The sequence below is a fragment of the Homo sapiens genome, chromosome 6 (genome assembly GCF_000001405.40).
Source record: "Homo sapiens chromosome 6, GRCh38.p14 Primary Assembly".
Classification (NCBI taxonomy): domain Eukaryota; kingdom Metazoa; phylum Chordata; class Mammalia; order Primates; family Hominidae; genus Homo; species Homo sapiens.
In genome coordinates this window covers 53542209-53559677 of record NC_000006.12, presented here as the reverse complement: position 1 = coordinate 53559677, position 17469 = coordinate 53542209, and the positions used below count along the sequence as shown (strand labels likewise).

At 43.8% G+C, this 17469-nt stretch overlaps 1 protein-coding gene across 2 annotated transcripts in view, besides 5 other annotated features; it reads left to right on the top strand.

The window, feature by feature from the left end:
• Nucleotides 11307–11536: a silencer, noted in NCBI's record as "silent region_17292". NCBI's record gives its function as "represses an Ori minimal core promoter by ATAC-STARR-seq in GM12878 lymphoblastoid cells {active_cell/tissue: GM12878}" and the evidence as "EXISTENCE:reporter gene assay evidence [ECO:0000049][PMID:35858748]".
• GCLC (glutamate-cysteine ligase catalytic subunit) overlaps nucleotides 14577–17469 on the top strand; it is a 47761-nt gene continuing 44868 nt past the window's right edge. For both annotated transcript variants that reach the window (NM_001197115.2, NM_001498.4), the window contains exon 1: nucleotides 14577–15182. In NM_001197115.2, coding sequence (NP_001184044.1) covers nucleotides 15033–15182 — 150 coding nt within the window. In that variant the 5' untranslated portion in view covers nucleotides 14577–15032. The remainder of the gene's footprint in view (nucleotides 15183–17469) is intronic.
• Nucleotides 14604–15033: a silencer, noted in NCBI's record as "silent region_17291". NCBI's record gives its function as "represses an Ori minimal core promoter by ATAC-STARR-seq in GM12878 lymphoblastoid cells {active_cell/tissue: GM12878}" and the evidence as "EXISTENCE:reporter gene assay evidence [ECO:0000049][PMID:35858748]".
• Nucleotides 15152–15893: an enhancer, noted in NCBI's record as "H3K27ac hESC enhancer chr6:53408583-53409324 (GRCh37/hg19 assembly coordinates)". NCBI's record gives its function as "activates a minimal SCP1, AML or CMV promoter by ChIP-STARR-seq in naive H9 embryonic stem cells {active_cell/tissue: H9 hESC(naive)}" and the evidence as "EXISTENCE:reporter gene assay evidence [ECO:0000049][PMID:30033119]".
• Nucleotides 15254–15313: an enhancer, noted in NCBI's record as "active region_24698". NCBI's record gives its function as "activates an Ori minimal core promoter by ATAC-STARR-seq in GM12878 lymphoblastoid cells {active_cell/tissue: GM12878}" and the evidence as "EXISTENCE:reporter gene assay evidence [ECO:0000049][PMID:35858748]".
• Nucleotides 16832–17469: an enhancer, noted in NCBI's record as "OCT4-NANOG-H3K27ac hESC enhancer chr6:53407007-53407644 (GRCh37/hg19 assembly coordinates)". NCBI's record gives its function as "activates a minimal SCP1, AML or CMV promoter by ChIP-STARR-seq in naive H9 embryonic stem cells {active_cell/tissue: H9 hESC(naive)}" and the evidence as "EXISTENCE:reporter gene assay evidence [ECO:0000049][PMID:30033119]".

Below are 17469 nucleotides of genomic sequence, written 5' to 3'. Positions count from 1 at the left end.
ACCCAATTTCTAGAAAGACCATTATAATTTCCCTTTAATCATATACAACTTGATCATATAAAAGTTTTGTTTTGTTTTGTTTTGTTTTGTTTTGAGACAGACTCTCACTCTGTCACCCAGGCTGGCATGCAGTGGCGCAATCTTGGCTCACTGCAACCTCCACCTCACGGGTTCAAGCAATTCTCCCTGCCTCAACCTTCTGCGTATCTGGGATTATAGGCACCTGACACCACACCTGGCTAATTTTTTTGTATTTTTTAGTAGAGATGAGGTTTTGCCATGTTGGCCAGGCTGGTCTTGAACTCCTGACCTCAGGTGATCCACCTGCCTCGGCCTCCCAAAGTGCTGGGATTACAGGTGTGAGCCACCGTGCCCGGCTGAAAGTTTTTTTTTTTAAATAAATCCTCTTATTGTGACTTACACAGATCATTCATGACATGCTTGGACTTTCTGGTTTGTCCTGAACATCCCTCTTTCTTAAACAACCCGTCATCTTATTCCAGAATAAATTTACCATACAAGATTCTTTCTCATATAAAATTATTTCTCTTTGAGCTTTCTTAGCAAAAAATACCTTTTATTTCTGCAACTTTCTTTACATCTGCCTCATTTCCTGGTTTCTTTTATCTTGTTTTATATATAACCTTAAAATAAGCTTTGAATTAGACAAAAATTGTTCACCTTTTAAAAAGGACACATTTTGTTTTTTAGAAAAAATATTTTCCTATAATATATTTTCATTGTAAAATACCCAAATAATGAAATATCCATTATTTAATTTAATGCAACCTTAGATTCTAAATTATGACAAGTTTATCTATAAGTATTTATCCCATTACATTTACCTAATTATTTTAATTGTTTACCTAGATTATTTATGAAAACTATGATAGTCATCATTTAAAGTTATGAAACTCACCATTGCAAAATTATAATTGACACAGTGAAAAAGATATGACCTAACTGACTCCCTCTTGCCGCTAACCTCCAAACTATCCTTGTTCATTCCTGGGCATAGGCCGAACTGACTGTGGGAGGAACTTAGTTTGGTTTAGCTTTGAAACAAAGATGATAACAGTCATTTCCCAAAAGAAACCTTATTGCCTGTGGACTAGACTCCCTAAGGCCACAAGATTAGAAGTTACAGTAATTTTACTAAATAATTCAAGATGTAGCTATTTTCATTAAACCAATATCAATGTCTTATTTATTAAAAATTAACACAAACAAAAATCATTCTGTTTTAGGCTGGGTTTATAGTTTTGTAACCCTATGCCAAACTTTGACACCTTACAGTATTTGGCAGGGATAAATATGAAATGACTTGATCCATAAATGCAAACGAAAATGTATGCTGGCAATTCTTAAGACATTTCTAATATTACTTTGCCAGTAATTTTAAAGCTAGCTTATTTATTAAAGATTTTACTTAAATCACATAAACTTGAAAAAGCATTTGGCTAGTCTTTTCTTTTCTCTGATAAAGCATTGGATTTAAGCACCTTTATTTTTCTGCAAGCCAATTAATTACAGCTCTTTTATATGTTTTTAGTAGTGAAACGTGTACATAACACATAGATACATAGATGTATTAGGCATACTGATAGAAGTACATCTTATAGATTCCTAAGACCTCCTTTTGTTTTCCCCTGTCTTAGACTTGCAAACTCATGATAACCTGTTTCATTAACCTGGCAGTTGTCAGCTAAATAGCCCTAAACCTGCATATTGAAGGAAACAACTCTTAGATGAAAAATCAGATAGCAAAATTTATATCTCAAGGTACAGACAGAAAAAGTCTAGTGGTGCTAGAGGGAGAATAAAGATGGATGCCAAATCAAACATAAAATTATAGAACTCTATCATGGGATTGTATGAGGAGACCAATTTTATTCATATAGGGATTATTTCTTTTTTGCCTAGATCTCTGAAATCTGGGCAGAGCCCACACTGAATCCTGGGTCTCCAAAAAGGGAGAATTATTATGAGGCTAGACCATGTAATGCTTTTGCAGTGCACTTAAAACAATTGTTTTTAAGCAAAGACATTTCAAAGTGTCTAAATTACACTCTTCCTTAAAAACTGAAGAGTAGCCTCTGTTGCAATACCTATTTTAGTCAATAAATCAGGTAACACAATACAAACGCAAGCAGTTTAAGAGCTGATACAAGTTGTCTGTTTACACTCTTGGAGTTCCATAATGAAAAATGGGTTTCTCCCCAATAGGGAGTCTGGTGCCTTCTCCATTTTCCTTAAGGAACCCCAGGCTACTATAAACTATTTTAGGCCCCTCATGCGGCAGAGGGTGCAAGAGAAAGGAGAGACAGCAGAAGTAAATGAAGAAAACAGAATTCAGCCAACTGAGAAGAAAAAATCTTTTGCTCAAAAAAAGAGAGGAAGTCCTAGGAGAAAAACAAACAAACCATGATGTCCTTTTAAATACAAACACCCACACACACACACACACACACAAATTGCTGCTATTGCAGAAGTACCAAGTATCAAACCAGAAAGGGCTTGATTTAGGAACCAAAATCAGGCTGTTGTGGTGAAAAAAAAAAGATGGCAGAACCCTTAGCTATGGAACTGCAGTGTAGGGCAACAGCCATTGCTCTTTCAGTTTGGCCTGGCAAGCAAAGAGGTGGCCTTGCTATGTAAAGAAAGCCCCTTAAGTAGTCAAAATCAAAAATATTTTTTTTTTCTTTTGCTGGCCATTTTTCTCCCTCCACCACTCCACCTTTTTTCTTTTCTCTTTTCTTTTGTGAGAATTTAGCCACTTCAGAGGCCTTATTCCTCATAATTTGGAACTTTCCTTCAGATTTGATCAAGTCAGATAGTTTGATCAAACCCAATGGGAAAAAGACTGAAACAACAACAAAAACAGAAACAAACAACAACAAAAAAGCAGTTAAGCCAAAAAACAATGGCACAACTTGTAAAATTACTGAGTGTTCTAATGGTAAGGAGAAATTAAGACCAGCTAGTTGTTCATATTAACTTTAGCCAAAACAAACCCCAATTCAGTTACTTACTTAGGGATGAGTCCCAAGCTGAAGACTGCTCTCTACCATCCTAGAAGCAGGAAAAATCTCAAATTTGGCTTCTCTTGGAAGCAAGCTGAAACTCTATAAAGGAGTTACCTATCTTCAATCTTCATGGAAGCCGGAAAAATTTGCCTTGTACTGGAAGCAAGTAAAACTCCAAAGGAAGTTGTACAACAAAATAAACTTTAGATCTCAACCACATTTTGGGAAATCAGGGATTCTCTGGAGGGGGTGCTTGCAGGCTTCAGCAAATTGTCCTATTGGTTTGAGCCATAAAGCTAGCTCGAGCTGGTACCAGGCACTGATAGGAGATTTGTCAAATGTCAGTGGCACAAACACTCAGAATCCCTTCATGGTTGCCAAAATGTGAACCCTGAATATCTGAGACAGGTGTCAGTTAATTTAGAAAGTTTATTTTGCCAAGGTTGAGGATGGGTACCCATGACACAGTCTCAGGAGGTCATGACAACATGTGCCCAAGGTGGTTGGGGCACAGCTTGTTTTTATGCATTTTAGGGAGACATGAGACATCAATCAATATATGTAAGATGTACACTGGTTCTGTCTGGTGAGGTGGGACAATTCAAGCAAGGAGGGGGCTTCCAGGTCACATGTAGGTGAAAGACAAATGATGGCATTCCTTTGAGTTTCTGATTAGCCTTTCCAAAGGAGGCAATCAGATACCCATTATCTCAGTGAGCAGAGGGATGACTTTGGATGGAATGGGAGGCAGGTTTGCCCTAAACAGTTCCCTGCTTGACTTTTCCCTTTAGCTTAGTGATTTTGGGGCCCCAAGATTCATTTTCCTTTCACAAGTAACTGGCCACAAGAGAAACAGAAACAGGATTAAGAAAGAGCCCTAACCCCTCCCATCACAGGCTCCATCAGCACATTAGAGAGGAGTACACTAGGTGACTATATATACATATTTGTGCCTGTGATAATTGCAAATAAAATGACACTAACCATTGTAAATGTTCAGTTCTTCTCAACTATTCTTTTTGACCATCTTGGAAACCCTTGCAAATATTTAAAGACAAGCATTCGTGTAATAGAGTTCATCGTAATACATTGTGAACCCCAAATATCTGAGACGGGTCACAGTCAATTTAGAAAGTTTATTTTGCCAAGGTTAAGGACATACCTGTGACACAGTCTCAGGAGGTCCTGATGACTTGTGCCCAGGGTAGTTGGGGTACAGCTTGCTTTTATTTGTTTTAGGGAGACAGGAGATATCAATCATTATGTGTAAGATGTACCTTGGTTCAGTCCAGTAAGGCACACAGGGTTGGGGGGAGCAGAGGGGGATTCCTTTGAGTCTTTGACCAGCCTTTCACCGAATACACAATTTAGTCTGGCTCAGTGAATCTGCATTTTTATATAAACAATATGGCAGAGGAAGCAATCAGATATGCATTTGTCTCAGATGAGCCTCAGAAGGATGACTTTGATTTCTGTCTATCCCTTGTCCACAAGGAAATTCCTTGTAGGCAAATTGTGAGGGAGGTATGTAGCCTTTTATCTTTGTAGCTATTTTATTTAGGAATAAAATGAGATGCAGGCAGGTTTGCCTGACATCGTTTCCAGCTTGATTTTTCCCTTGGCTTAGTGCTTTGGAGGTCTCGAGATTTATTATCCTTTCACAACATATAGAGGAGTGTCTCAAACTTGATACTACTGACATTTAGAGTAGGACAATTCTTGTTGTGGGATGTCCTGTGTATTGTAAGATAAGTTTTTAGGTGAGTTGAATTTTTTCCTTAAGGTACTTACTACATTAAAGTTTAAGTACTAAAATAAGTGGCAGGAGGTATTGTATGAGAAAAAATACTTTCGGGAAGTACAATATATTTTTTTTTTTTTTTTTGCTTTTAGGAACTGGTCTTATCGAAGCAAAATTGCTCAATTATTCAGTACAATTGCCTTTCTACATAGATGTAATTATGGCTAACACTTTTTCACATCTCATCATCCATGAATGATAGGTTATAGTGCGCCAAAGTTCAATTATTTGGTGTTATCTAATCTAGAATGAACTTTACATATATTTATGTGAACTAAGGTGAATGAAATGGAAGAAAAAAGGCAGAGACTAAGATCAGATATCTTTAAAAAGGTAAATACATGCCTTAGCAATCTTACTCACATTTTGACACTTGGCCTATTTTAGCAATATTAATCACCCATGCACAGCCATTGTCAAATCATTTATACTATATGCGACAAGCATGTTTTTCTGGCTTTGGGTTTTGTTTTTAAATACAAAGCCCCATAATTTGGAACAATAGCTGGATAATTTGGAGTGAAAAAACTGGATAAGATCTACCATCTCCAAATTTAGAATGACAGAAATTGGTTTCCAGTAAGATATGTCAACAAAAAGAGTCAAACTCTATAAAATAGTTGAAGACATTTATTTTGAGCCAAATATGAGTGGTCATGGGCTGTGACACAACCCCAGGTGATCCTGAGAACATGTGCCCAAGGTGGTCGGGCTACATATAGTTTGGTATCATACATTTTAGGTGGATGTAAGACATCAGTACATGAAAGATGGTGGTTCAGTCCAGAAACATGCCCTGAAAATGTGAGACAACTTGGGAAACATGAGACAACTCGGGGTGAGGGGGCTGTATTAGTCCATTTTCACGCTGCTGATAAACATATACCTGAGACTGGGAAGAAAAAGAGATTTAATTGAACTTACAGTTTCACATGGCTAGGGAGGCCTCAGAATCATGGTGGGAGGTGAAAGGCACTTCTTACATGGTGGCAGCCAAAGAAAACGAGGAGGAAGCAAAAGCAGAAACCCCTGATAAACCCATCACATCTCATGAGACTTATTCACCATCACGAGAATAGCATGGGAAAGACCAGCCAGCATGATTCAATTACTTCCCCCTGGGTCCCTCCCAAAACAGGTGTGAATTTTGGAAGATACAATTCAAGTTGAGATTTGGGTGGGGACACAGCCAAAACATGTCATTCCACCCCTAGCCCCTCCAAATCTCATGTCCTCACATTTCAAAACTAATCATGCCTTCCCAACAGTCCCCCAAAGTCTTAACTCATTTCAGAATTAACCCAAAAGTCCACAGTCCAAAGTCTCATCTGAGACGAGGCAAGTCCCTTCTGCTTATGAGCCTGTAAAACCGAAAGCAAGCTAGTTACTTCCTAGATAAAATGGGGGTACAGGTATTGGGTAAATACAGCCATTCCAAATGGGAGAAATTAGCCAAAACAAAGGGGTTACAGGGCCCATGCAAGTCCGAAATCCAGTGGAGCAGTCAAATTTTAAAGTTCCAAAATGATATCCTTTGACTCCAGGTCTCACATTCAGGTCATGCTGATGGAAGAGGTGGGTTCCCATGGTCTTGGGCAGCTCTGCCCCGGTGGCTTTGCAGGGTACAGCCTCCCTCCCAGCTGTTTTCACAGGCTGGCATTGAGTGTCTGCGGCTTTTCCAGGTGCATGGTGCAAGCTGTCAGTGGATCTACCATCCTGGGATCTGGAGGACGGTGGCCCTCTTCTCACAGCTCCACTAGGCAGTGCTCCATTAGGGACTCTGTGTGGGGGCTCTAAACTCCACATTTCCCTTCTGCTCTGCCCTAGCAGAGGTATTCCATGAAGCCCCTGCCTGTGCAGCAAACTTTTGCCTGGGCATCCAGGCGTTTTCATACATCTGAAATCTAGGTGGAGGTTACCAAACCTCAATTCTTGATTTCTGTGCACCTATAGGCTCAACACCACATGGAAGCTGCCAAGGCTTGGGGCTTCCACCCTCTGAAGCCACAGCCTGAGCTGTATGTTGGCCCCTTTCAATCATGGCTGGAGTGACTGGGACACAGGGCACCAAGTCCCTGGGCTGCACACAGCACGGAGACCCTGGGCCTGGCCCACAAAACCACTTTTTTCTCCTGGGCCTCCAGGCCTATGGTGGAAGGGGCTGCCATGAAGGTCTCTGACATGGCCTGGAGACATTTTCCCCATGGTCTCGGGGATTAACATTAGGCTCCTTGCTACTTATGCAAATTTCTGACACCAGCTTGAATTTCTCCCCAGAAGATGGTTTTTTCTTTTCTATCACATAGTCAACCTGCAAATTTTCCAAACTTTTATGATCTGCTTCCCTTATAAAACTTTAACAGTACCCAAGTCACTTATTGAATGCTTTGCTGCTTAGAAATTTCTTCCACCAGGTATCCTAAATCATCTTTCTCAAGTTCAAAGTTCCACAAATCTCTAGGGCAGGGGCACGATGCCACCAGTCTCTTTGCTAAAACGTAACAAGAGTCACTTTTACTCCAGTTCCCAACAAGTTTCTCATCTCCATCTGAGACCACCTCAGCATGGACATTATTGTCAGCTGTCATTATTGTCAACATGTCAGCATGTTGGGCAAAGCCATTCAACAAGTCTCTAGGAAGCTCCAAACTTTCCCACATTTTCCTGTCTTCTTCTGAGCCCTCCAAACTGTTCCAACCTCTGCCTGTTACCCAGTTCCAATGTTGATTCTACCTTTTCAGGTATCTTTTCAGCAACACACCACTCTACTGGTACCAATTTACTGTATTAGTCCATCTTCACACTGCTGATAAAAACATAACTGAGACTGGAAAAAAAAAAGAGGTTTAACTGGACTTACAGTTCCACATGGCTGGGAGGGCCTTAGAATCACGGTGGGAGGTGAAAGGCACTTCTTACAGCGTGGTAGCAAGAGAAAATGAGGAAGAAGCAAAAGGGGAAACCTCTGATAAACCCATCAGATCTTGTGAGACTTATTCACTATCGTGAGAATAGCACAGGAAAGACCAGCCCCCATGATTCAACTACCTCCTCGTGGGTCCCTCTCAAAACAGGTGGGAATTCTGGGAGATACAATTCAAGTTGAGATTTGGGTGGGGACGCAGCCAAACCGTATCAGAGGGTCAGTTCCAGGTCCCCGCTAATATTTGAATAGGTGGATTCAAAGGTTTTCTGAATGGCAATTGGTTGAGTTTACCTAAGGACCTAGAATCGATAGAAGGGAGTGTCTGGGTTAACTAAGGAGTTGTGGAGACCAAGGTTCTTATTATACAGATGAAGCCTCCAGGTAGCAGGCTTCAAAGAGAATAGACTGTAAATGTTTGTTGGGAGACTTAAAAAGGTGCCAGACTCCGTTAATTCTCTTCTGGATCAGGAAAAAGACCTGGAAAGGGAAGGGGATTCTCTACAGGATGTAGATTTTCCCCACAAGAAACAGCTTTGCAGGGCCATTTCAAAATATGTCAAAGAACTGTATTTTAAGATAAAATACTTGATTTCTTCAGGGCCTATTATCCATCATGTTGGTATTTTATTGTTCCAAAGAACCTGTTTAGTCAGTCTTCAGGTCTGTTTCAATGTTAATGCTGGTCAGCTGTGCCTGAAATCCAAAGGGAGGATGTTATAATTAGGCATGTCTGATCACCTATTCCATCATGGCCTGAAGTAGTGTTTCATATTTCAGGTTTACTTTTTTTTAATTTATTTTTTATTTTTTTTGAGACGGAGTCTCACTCTGTCACCCAGTCTGGAATGCAGTGGCGTGATTTTGGTTCATTGCAACCTCCGCCTCCCTGTTCAAGTGATTCTCCCACCTCAGCCTCCCAAGTAGCTGGGATTACTGGTGCATGCCACCACACCTGGCTAATTTTTGTATTTTAAGTAGAGACGGGGTTTCGCTGTGTTGGCCAGGCTGGTCTTGAACTCCTGACCCCAGGTGATCTGCCTGCCTTGGCCTCCCAAAGTGGTGGGATTACAGGTGTGAGTCACTGCGCCTGGCCTCAGGTTTACTTTAGAATGTTCTTGGCCTAGAGGAGTGGTCCATTCAGGTAGTTGGAGGGCTTAGAATTTTATTTTTGGTTTACGGATATTAGGGTATTGCTCATTATTTTCCATCTTTCTAGATCACCTCCCATATCAGCTGCTCAAACCTCATCTTCTACATTCCTCTTTCTTTCTTCAACCTTCACTTAGAGCTCAGGTCCTGAGATCAGACTTGAGTGAGATTTCCTTTAAACTAATGGGAGGAGGTAAGTAACTGTAACATACAAAGATGAATAATAAGTACATGAAGAGGTGGGCACCATGGCTCATGCCTGTAATCCCAGCACTTTGGGAGGCCAAGGCAGGCGGATCACCTGAGGTCAGGAGTTTGAGATCAACCTGGCCAATATGGCAAAACCCCATCTCTACCAAAAATACAAAAACTAGGGCCAGGCACAGTGGCTCACACATGTAATCCCAGCACTTTGGGAGGCCAAGGCTGGCAGATTACCTGACGTCAGGAGTTCAAGACCACCCTGGCTAACGGTGAAACCCCGTCTCTACTGAAAATACAAAAATTAGCCCGGCGTGGTGGCAGGCGCCTGTAGTCCCAGCTACTCGGGAGGCTGAGGCAGGAGAATTGCTTGAACCCAGGAGGTGGAGGTTGCAGTGAGCCAAGATCATGCCACTGCACTCCAGCCTGGGTGACAGAGCAAGACTCCCGTCTCAAAAAAAAAAAGAAAAAAGTACATGAAGAGCCATTATACTATGTTCTCTCAACTTTTGTGCTTTATTGGAAATGTCCATAATAAAAAGTTATCTTTAATTATTCTCCAGTGAGAAGAGTGAGTCTACAGGACTCAGATATCACTCGCCCTGTCCCAACACATTATCATGGCGTCTTTATCTTCTATAAGAAGACAATGAGATTTTTCTAGGAAAAAAAGCTCACCACTTCCCATGTGTTCTGGATCCCAACAAGTCAGGTCTCCTGAGACATTTTGCTTCTGAAAATATCCTTTCTTGTTCCCACATCTTCAATCTTGCCCCCTTTTGATGCCTACCCATCTTCTTTAGCACACTCAAACTTCTCCATGTTAAAAAAGTTCTTCACTTGAACTTCACAGACCTTTTGTAACTCTACATGAAAACAAGCACATTTATATTTTTCAAAAATCCATGTAAACTAAAAATTGGCTTGGAAAAGGTCAAAAGAGTTTCCTTGCTTTTTTGACAATGACAATAGCACACCTCAGCAGCATGTATTACAAATAGTACACGATACAAAAAGATTTGAACTCTTTCAACTAATTTTAGTAATAACATCAGAAAATGTTTAGGCTGGAAGGGAAACTTTATCTCCTCCAGACTCTCATTTGTACAGATGAGAGGAAAGGACTCTCCAATGATTATCACAACTTTGCTTAGATTGACCCAGCAGGTAGCCCTCTGAGATGGGGCCAAAGCCCCAGTCTTTTGGCTACTGCTCTTCCATCATAAAGCCCCCAGGGATCTTCTTGAATAAGATCAAGTCAAATTCCAAGTACAATTCAATTGTAGGGAGAAAATTCCTTCTGTATCTTTTGTTGTTTAACATGTACACTGAAGTTAAGAAATAACTAACTATTTGTTTTCACCAATTAAGAAATTTAACATTGGGAGGCCGAGGCGGGCGGATCACGAGGTCAGGAGATCGAGACCATCCCGGCTAAAACGGTAAAACCCCGTCTCTACTAAAAATACAAAAAATTAGCCGGGCATAGTGGCGGGCGCCTGTAGTCCCAGCTACTTGGGAGGCTGAGGCAGGAGAATGGCGTGAACCCGGGAGGCGGAGCTTGCAGTGAGCCGAGATCCCGCCACTGCACTCCAGCCTGGGCGACAGAGCGAGACTCCATCTCAAAAAAAAAAAAAAAAGAAAGAAATTTAACAGACAAAAAGCTTAAGGACTTCACAGGCAGATCCGCGGGTTTTGGGGAAAGGGTGTGTCAAGGGAGAAGAAAGGATGTAATGAAGGTTGGCATCAAGTCCCAGGAAGAATCACACTGAAGGCAGCCACCAGCTTCACCCAGGCTAAGTGGTGTAGTAGACAGCTTTGAAATATCACTGGAGTTCAAACCCCAGCTTAGCCACTACCTGTTACTTAGTATTACTGGATCTCAGTTGCCTCACTTATAAAATGTGGCAAAGATTAGTACTGTTTTACGGATACCAGCTCAAAGTGCCTGGCATAGAATGTGATATACTGGGACCCAAGCGACAGACCACCAAGGTCAAGGGATACTCAAGCCAAAGAGAGCGGTAAAGGCAGGGGCAGATAACCTAGAAGTGCCTTCCTCAGAGTCCCCTGGGCACTCTCTCTGTTTTCCTTATTTGATCTCGCGAAGCCGCTGACTCAAGGGAAACTGGGAATGGCGTGACCACAGAGAAAATGATGTATTTTTTGGTCCTTGGAGGCCCGAAACCCATCGTGTCTGAAACGACTGCGGCAATCCTAGCAGCAGCAGCAGCCCAGAGGTCAGGAGTGATGGACTGAGACTTTGCCCTAAGAAGCCTCCCCCAGATTGACCTCCGGCTCGGAGCCCGCACAAAGCGCTGAGTCACGGGGAGGCGGTGCCGCGCGCGGGGGAGGCGGGCCCGCGCAGTCACGTGGCGGGGGCTGTATCACAACAACTGCGCGGCGTGCGCCGCCCGCGGCCCACACCGCTTCCTCCCGCGACAGGCCGGCTCTCCGAGCATGCTCAGCTTGGCCTCACGACTGCACGGCGTCCCCCCATGCGGATCTCCACGGTCCAGGTTTTCCGGACGGCTCTGGGGGCGGGGCCTGTGTTGGTCCGCGGGGCTGCGAGGCGAGGTTGCGGTGCCAGGGCGCCGCTGGGCAGAGATGGGTTCCTGGAGAGCGGGTCTCGCGTTTTTCCGCGGAAGACACTACTGGGAATCGGCCTTTGGTCATGGTCTAGGGAAGAGCTGATTCTGCAAGATATGAGCTCCTTCTTTCCCCTTCAGCTATCGTTACAGCCCTGATGGAGCTGTCTGCTGAAAACTCACTTCCAGATGTCGAAACCTGGCCCTGGGTGCAGTCTACAGAATGAAATCGAGCAGTAGTGGACCTATGCAGGCAAAGCATTGTCAGAGGGGAGTAACTCTTGTTAAATATGACTTCAGTTGATCCGTGATGGGATTTTTGTTTTTTCTTTGTAACAGAAAAGGCTAAAGACACTGAGAGATCAAGGTTTAAATTGGGCATAACTGCCCTGTGGTGCAGCAGCGCCGGCGCCCTTTTTGGGATTGTCCAAAGCTCTGGGACCCCCGCTGGGGGAGCTGGTTCAGAATTCGGGGGGGTAGGATAGGGTGAGGGAGGTCCCTTATGTGAGTGTGAGCCGGGATCTAGGACAGAGTAACTCCAATTACAGTGTTAAACTCTTACTAGGTTCAGTGTCGCGTAGGGCTTTGGCTAGACTAGAATTTAGTCTATTATTGAACCGCCCAGGTCCATGATTCCTAACAGGTGCATGGGAAAAGTGTATGGTGTGCAGCAGGTGTATGGGAAAACTGCTTTGCAAAGTGTAAATCAAGGTCTACATCAGTACTGTTTCAATAAAGTGGAATGAGAGCCACATATGTAATCTTAAATTTTTCAGTAGCCTCCTTTAAAATTAAAAATAAAAGTGGGTGGGGGTGGTGGTAAATTAAATAACATACCACATCATATTTAACTCAAAATTTCCAAAATGCTATATCGCTATGTAATCAATATAAAACTTTTAATGAGATATTTACATCTTTTTATTCTACTGTCTTAGAATCTGGTGTGTGACTTACACTCACAACACATCTGGGCCACTAAGTTTTCATTGGAAATACTTGATCTGTAATTACATTTCATAAAATTTACAGTCAAAAATGGATTCACATTTCCAACTTGTTTCAAATTTACTTAAAAGTTTTCCAGTAACTGAATGGAATATCAGTTTTTAAATTTACATTTAAATTGATTAAATTAAAATGAAAATTTGGTTTCTCGGTCATGTTAGCCACATTTCAAATGTACATTGGCCAATGTGGCTGATGGCTGTCGTGTTGAACAATGCAGGTCTATGAGAATGTCAGATGACATTATGAGAATAACCCAATGATCCTTGGATGTCTTACCTACATGGGAAACACTGTTTCTCCCCCTCTCCCACTACCTGCTTTTCACGGAGAAGCTAACATTTATTAAGCACACACTCTATACCAAGCACTTTTCTAGAATTAAAGGTACAAAAGGCATAAGTCATCTGTGCCCCAGAGGAATTCACTATTTAGTGTGGAGCTATCTTTAAAATGACTCTATCATTAATGTACGAATGCAACCAAAACACAGAGAGGAATAACTGTGACTCAAGAGATGAACATGAGTGTGTCAGATGGAGAATTTCAAGCAGGAAAAACAACAGAGTGCCAGAACCATATACAGATCTGGTGAGGTTGGTGGGAGGGCAAAGGAGGTTGTTGAAAAGGCTGTGGAAAAATTAGAATGTGGTTTGATTTCTATCCCACCTGTGTGATGAGGATGGAAACATCTTCTCCTGAGCTTCAAACATCCCTACCACACACAGACACACACACACAGACACACAGACACACACACACACCATTGTGGAAATCCCAGCCAGACCTTGGGTATTCATGCCCCCAAGCCCTGTGAGGGGCACATCCAATATGAAGGCTGTGGGAGAAGAGAATCCTGCTATCATGTACTCACTCATTTAGCAATTAATAAGTGCTTACTAAATGTTAACTCTGTAGTGCGAGGGAAGAGGGTATGATAAATACACACTTTCTGGGTAGGTACATGTATGATCTAGTTGCCTTCACTTTTCCCCTGACAGGTCATTGCTCTGTCAACACATATTTATTAAACAATCACTTGGGGGCACGGTACCTCCTTCCTCTCCTTTCCCTCCGAGATAAGGCCAACTCTAGGTGTTCCCACTATCTTCAACCCCACCCCACGGTAGGCTCACAAGAACGTCATTTTGATCACTTAAGGGATGAATTTTAGGTTTAGATGGAGGATAAACTTTTGGAGATGGTTCCTCATATGGTCTGTCTGGAGACTTTTTGCAATAAATGGTGTCCGTGCCATCCAGAGAACATAGGTCACCAGTTAATCAAGACAGTAGGGAATAATGATTTACACATGTTGACAAATTGATTCCTCTTAATAACCAGGTCAATTTTTTGGCCAACACTATACACATGTACACTATGCACATAATTACGACATCTATAAAAGATAGAATTAATCTAATTTTATGCAGATATGGGAAGAACTCGTCCCAAGTCTCACAGTCAGTAAGTGATGGAGCCTAGAGTTGAACTGTTTCACTTCACTACCATGTTAATACTTTTCTCAACACATTCTGCCGCTCTCACTCTAAGTGTGAGGCCCTGTCCAACTAAAACATAATATGGTGAGTTCGTCATTGATTCAAATAATCAACTTTCTTCCCGAATCCCAAGTTTATCTCTTCTGATTAGGAAAAAAAATGCATTTTGATATGTCGCGTTTGCGTAAAGCGAGGCCGACCGCACGCCCCCTTCTCGCGAGCTGCTCCCCTCAACTGCGACCCAATCACCCTTGCACACGCCTCCTGAGCCCCCGCGGTTCCCACCGGGCTTCAGGCCACGCCTCCGCCGCTGCACCGCCTCCTCTCCCCGCCTTCGCCCGTAGTCTATAAAACCTGGAGCGCAGGATCGCGCCCAGGAGCGGCGAGCTAGCGGACGCAAAGACTGGGCATGCTCCGCGGCGGCGCAGGTTTTGGTCACAAGTAGGAAGAAGCCAGTGCACCAGACCGGCAAAGAGAAGCGGGAGCCGCCGCGGCAGCGCGGCCGTGGGGTCCGCCGCCGCCGCATCGGAGCGGGAGGAGGAGCAGCGGGGAGGGCGAGGCCGCCGGGCCGAGAGCCGTCCCGCCTGCTCTCGGTCTTCTGCCTTCGCCTCCGCGCGGTGCGTCGGACCCAGGGTCTGTCACCTGGGCGCCAGGGGCCGCCGCCGGGGAGCCGGAGCGGGCAGGACCCTCCCTCCGCCGACTGCGGCCCGAGAGCGCCCCCGCGGGGTGGAGCGGCAGCCGCCTTCTGCGGGCGGCTGAGTGTCCGTCTCGCGCCCGGAGCGGGCGACCGCCGTCAGCCCGGAGGAGGAGGAGGAGGAGGAGGGGGCGGCCATGGGGCTGCTGTCCCAGGGCTCGCCGCTGAGCTGGGAGGAAACCAAGCGCCATGCCGACCACGTGCGGCGGCACGGGATCCTCCAGTTCCTGCACATCTACCACGCCGTCAAGGACCGGCACAAGGACGTTCTCAAGTGGGGCGATGAGGTGAGCGCCCGCGGTCCCCGTCCCCGCCGGGCACCCGTGTCTGGCCGCCCGCGCTGCCTTTGTCTTGCCCTACGCCCCCGGCCCTATCGCGGTCCGCGTTCTCCACTGCGCCCGGGGGTCCTCGAGCGCCTCCCGGCCCCGGGAGCATCGTCCCTGCTTTCGCCTAGTCCGCGTCCAGGGCCATCCTCCTGACTAGACTCCTTTCTTGTTCATTCATTCTTTTGGGTTTTCCCCTTCATTCCATAAACACGGATTGGGCGCTGGGAGGGCGTGAGCATGAAAAAGTGACATTAGGTGCTGCGAGTCTTCAACCTAGTGTATCTGCAGACCGGCAACTACCATGATCCACCTTACAGGCTCAAAATTCGCTTTTGCGGTCAATATGAAAGAGATTTAAGTTTTCCTAGTAGGCCTGCTGCTTTTAGAAATCAGGTCTTCAGGATGTCCACTTCTGCCCTACCTCATGCAGGTGTCTTTTCCTTAAACCTCTCCAACTTCTCATCTTCCCTCCCCTCCAAAACACACACACTTCATAGCTATAAATTGAAACCAGTAAATTACGGCTCAGTTTCCTACATGGGGGAGGAACCTTCCCTTTCCTGTTTAATTCTAAGTGGGAATGCATTTAGAGTTTCAACATTAGGATTTGCTTGTGTCTTTCCATGGCCTAGGTCCAGCAACTAAACTTTACAAACCAGTGTTCTGCCTAGAGATGAAATGTCTCTAGATTCTCAGTAGGTTGAACCATTGTTTATTGGAATGATCTGGAATGCAGCAATGTTAAAACTGTTGATTTAGTGTCATCTGCCAAAACTTTTTGTGCCTTCCCTTTCTGTTTTTGAAAATTACGTGTGTATGCAGTACACATTAAATGACTTCTTGAGAAGTCCATCTCTGTTTTTGTTTTTAGCTTTTGCCTTAGATGGCTTGCCACCTGTGTAAATTGTTTATCTTTTGGCCAGTGTTGTTATCAATCTTGGCCTAAGTGCTGACGTGCTGTTACACCAGTGCAGAATATCTCCTTTCAAAAAGTTAGTTTTTTTTTTTTTTCTAAGATTGGGATTCTACCTCCTACAGCTGAAGAAATTGTGCTGTTTTAAATTAGGAAAGTATGATGACTAGTAATTCACATTTCTACAAAAAGTGGTTTGTCACACTTCTTTGAACAGAAAAAGCACAGCATGTGTTTTGGTGATGATTCTTCAGTTTTACTGTAAAGTTCATAGTTTCTTTACAGCATCTGCCATTTTGTATATTCATTTTTGTATTGTGTGTCACAGGAAAATGTAAGACGAAATTGGGCAGGGACATTATGCTTGTTCACCTCTGTTTTCCTAGAGCCCAGCCTTGTGCCTGGTGTAGTTGGCATCAGGTCCTTGTGGCATGAATGAGTGAATGAACTACTATTTCAAGTTCCCACTGTATGGTAACTAGTCATTGTAGAGCAGTTCAAAGTTTGACATTTTTTTGTGCTGCTCTTTTTTTTTGAGACAGAATCTTGCTCTGTCGCCCAGGCTGGAGTGCAATGGTGTGATCTCGGCTCACTGCAACCTCAGCCTCCCGGGTTCAAGCAATTCTCCTGCCTCAGCCTCCTGAGTAGCTGGGATTACAGGTGCCTGCCACCACGCCCAGCTAATTTTTGTATTTTTAGTAGAGATAGGGTTTCACCATGTTGGTCAGGGTGATCTCAAACTCCTGACTTTTCACCCGCCTCGGCTTCCCAAAGTGCTGGGATTACAGGCATGAGCCAATGTGCCGGGCCCTGTGCTGCTTTTGACATTTAACTAGGTCTCTCTACAAAGACAGGCAGTTCAAGTCTTTGGTAGTCATTGTCCCAGGTAGAACTACATCAACAGGAAATTTGCAGCACAGTTGGAGCTCAGCAACTCCTTCTGGAGACAACACCCCACCCCCCACCACCCCTTATCCATCTTTGTCCCATTTGGTGTATTCCTGCAAGACACTCCAGGAATCCTTAATCTTACCCTTTTAAAAAAGGCCTCTCCTGTTGGCAGGAAGAGCATTTAGAACTACCTATTTTAAGTAACTTTTGTAGTTGTTGGGTAAATTGAAGTGGGAAGAGCTGAAGAGTAGAGCCTTGAAGTACGTGTCTCTGCTTTAACAGGCTTTCATGGAGAGATTTGCAATAGGTTTACCTCCTTCCCACTCCAAAAGATCAAGGGGCTTGGAAAAGAGTGGCCATAATGCAAACTTGTATTATGCATCTATAAAGGAGAGAAAATTGGACCCAGCATTTCAGCCAGGTCATAACACTTCTTGAAAAAAT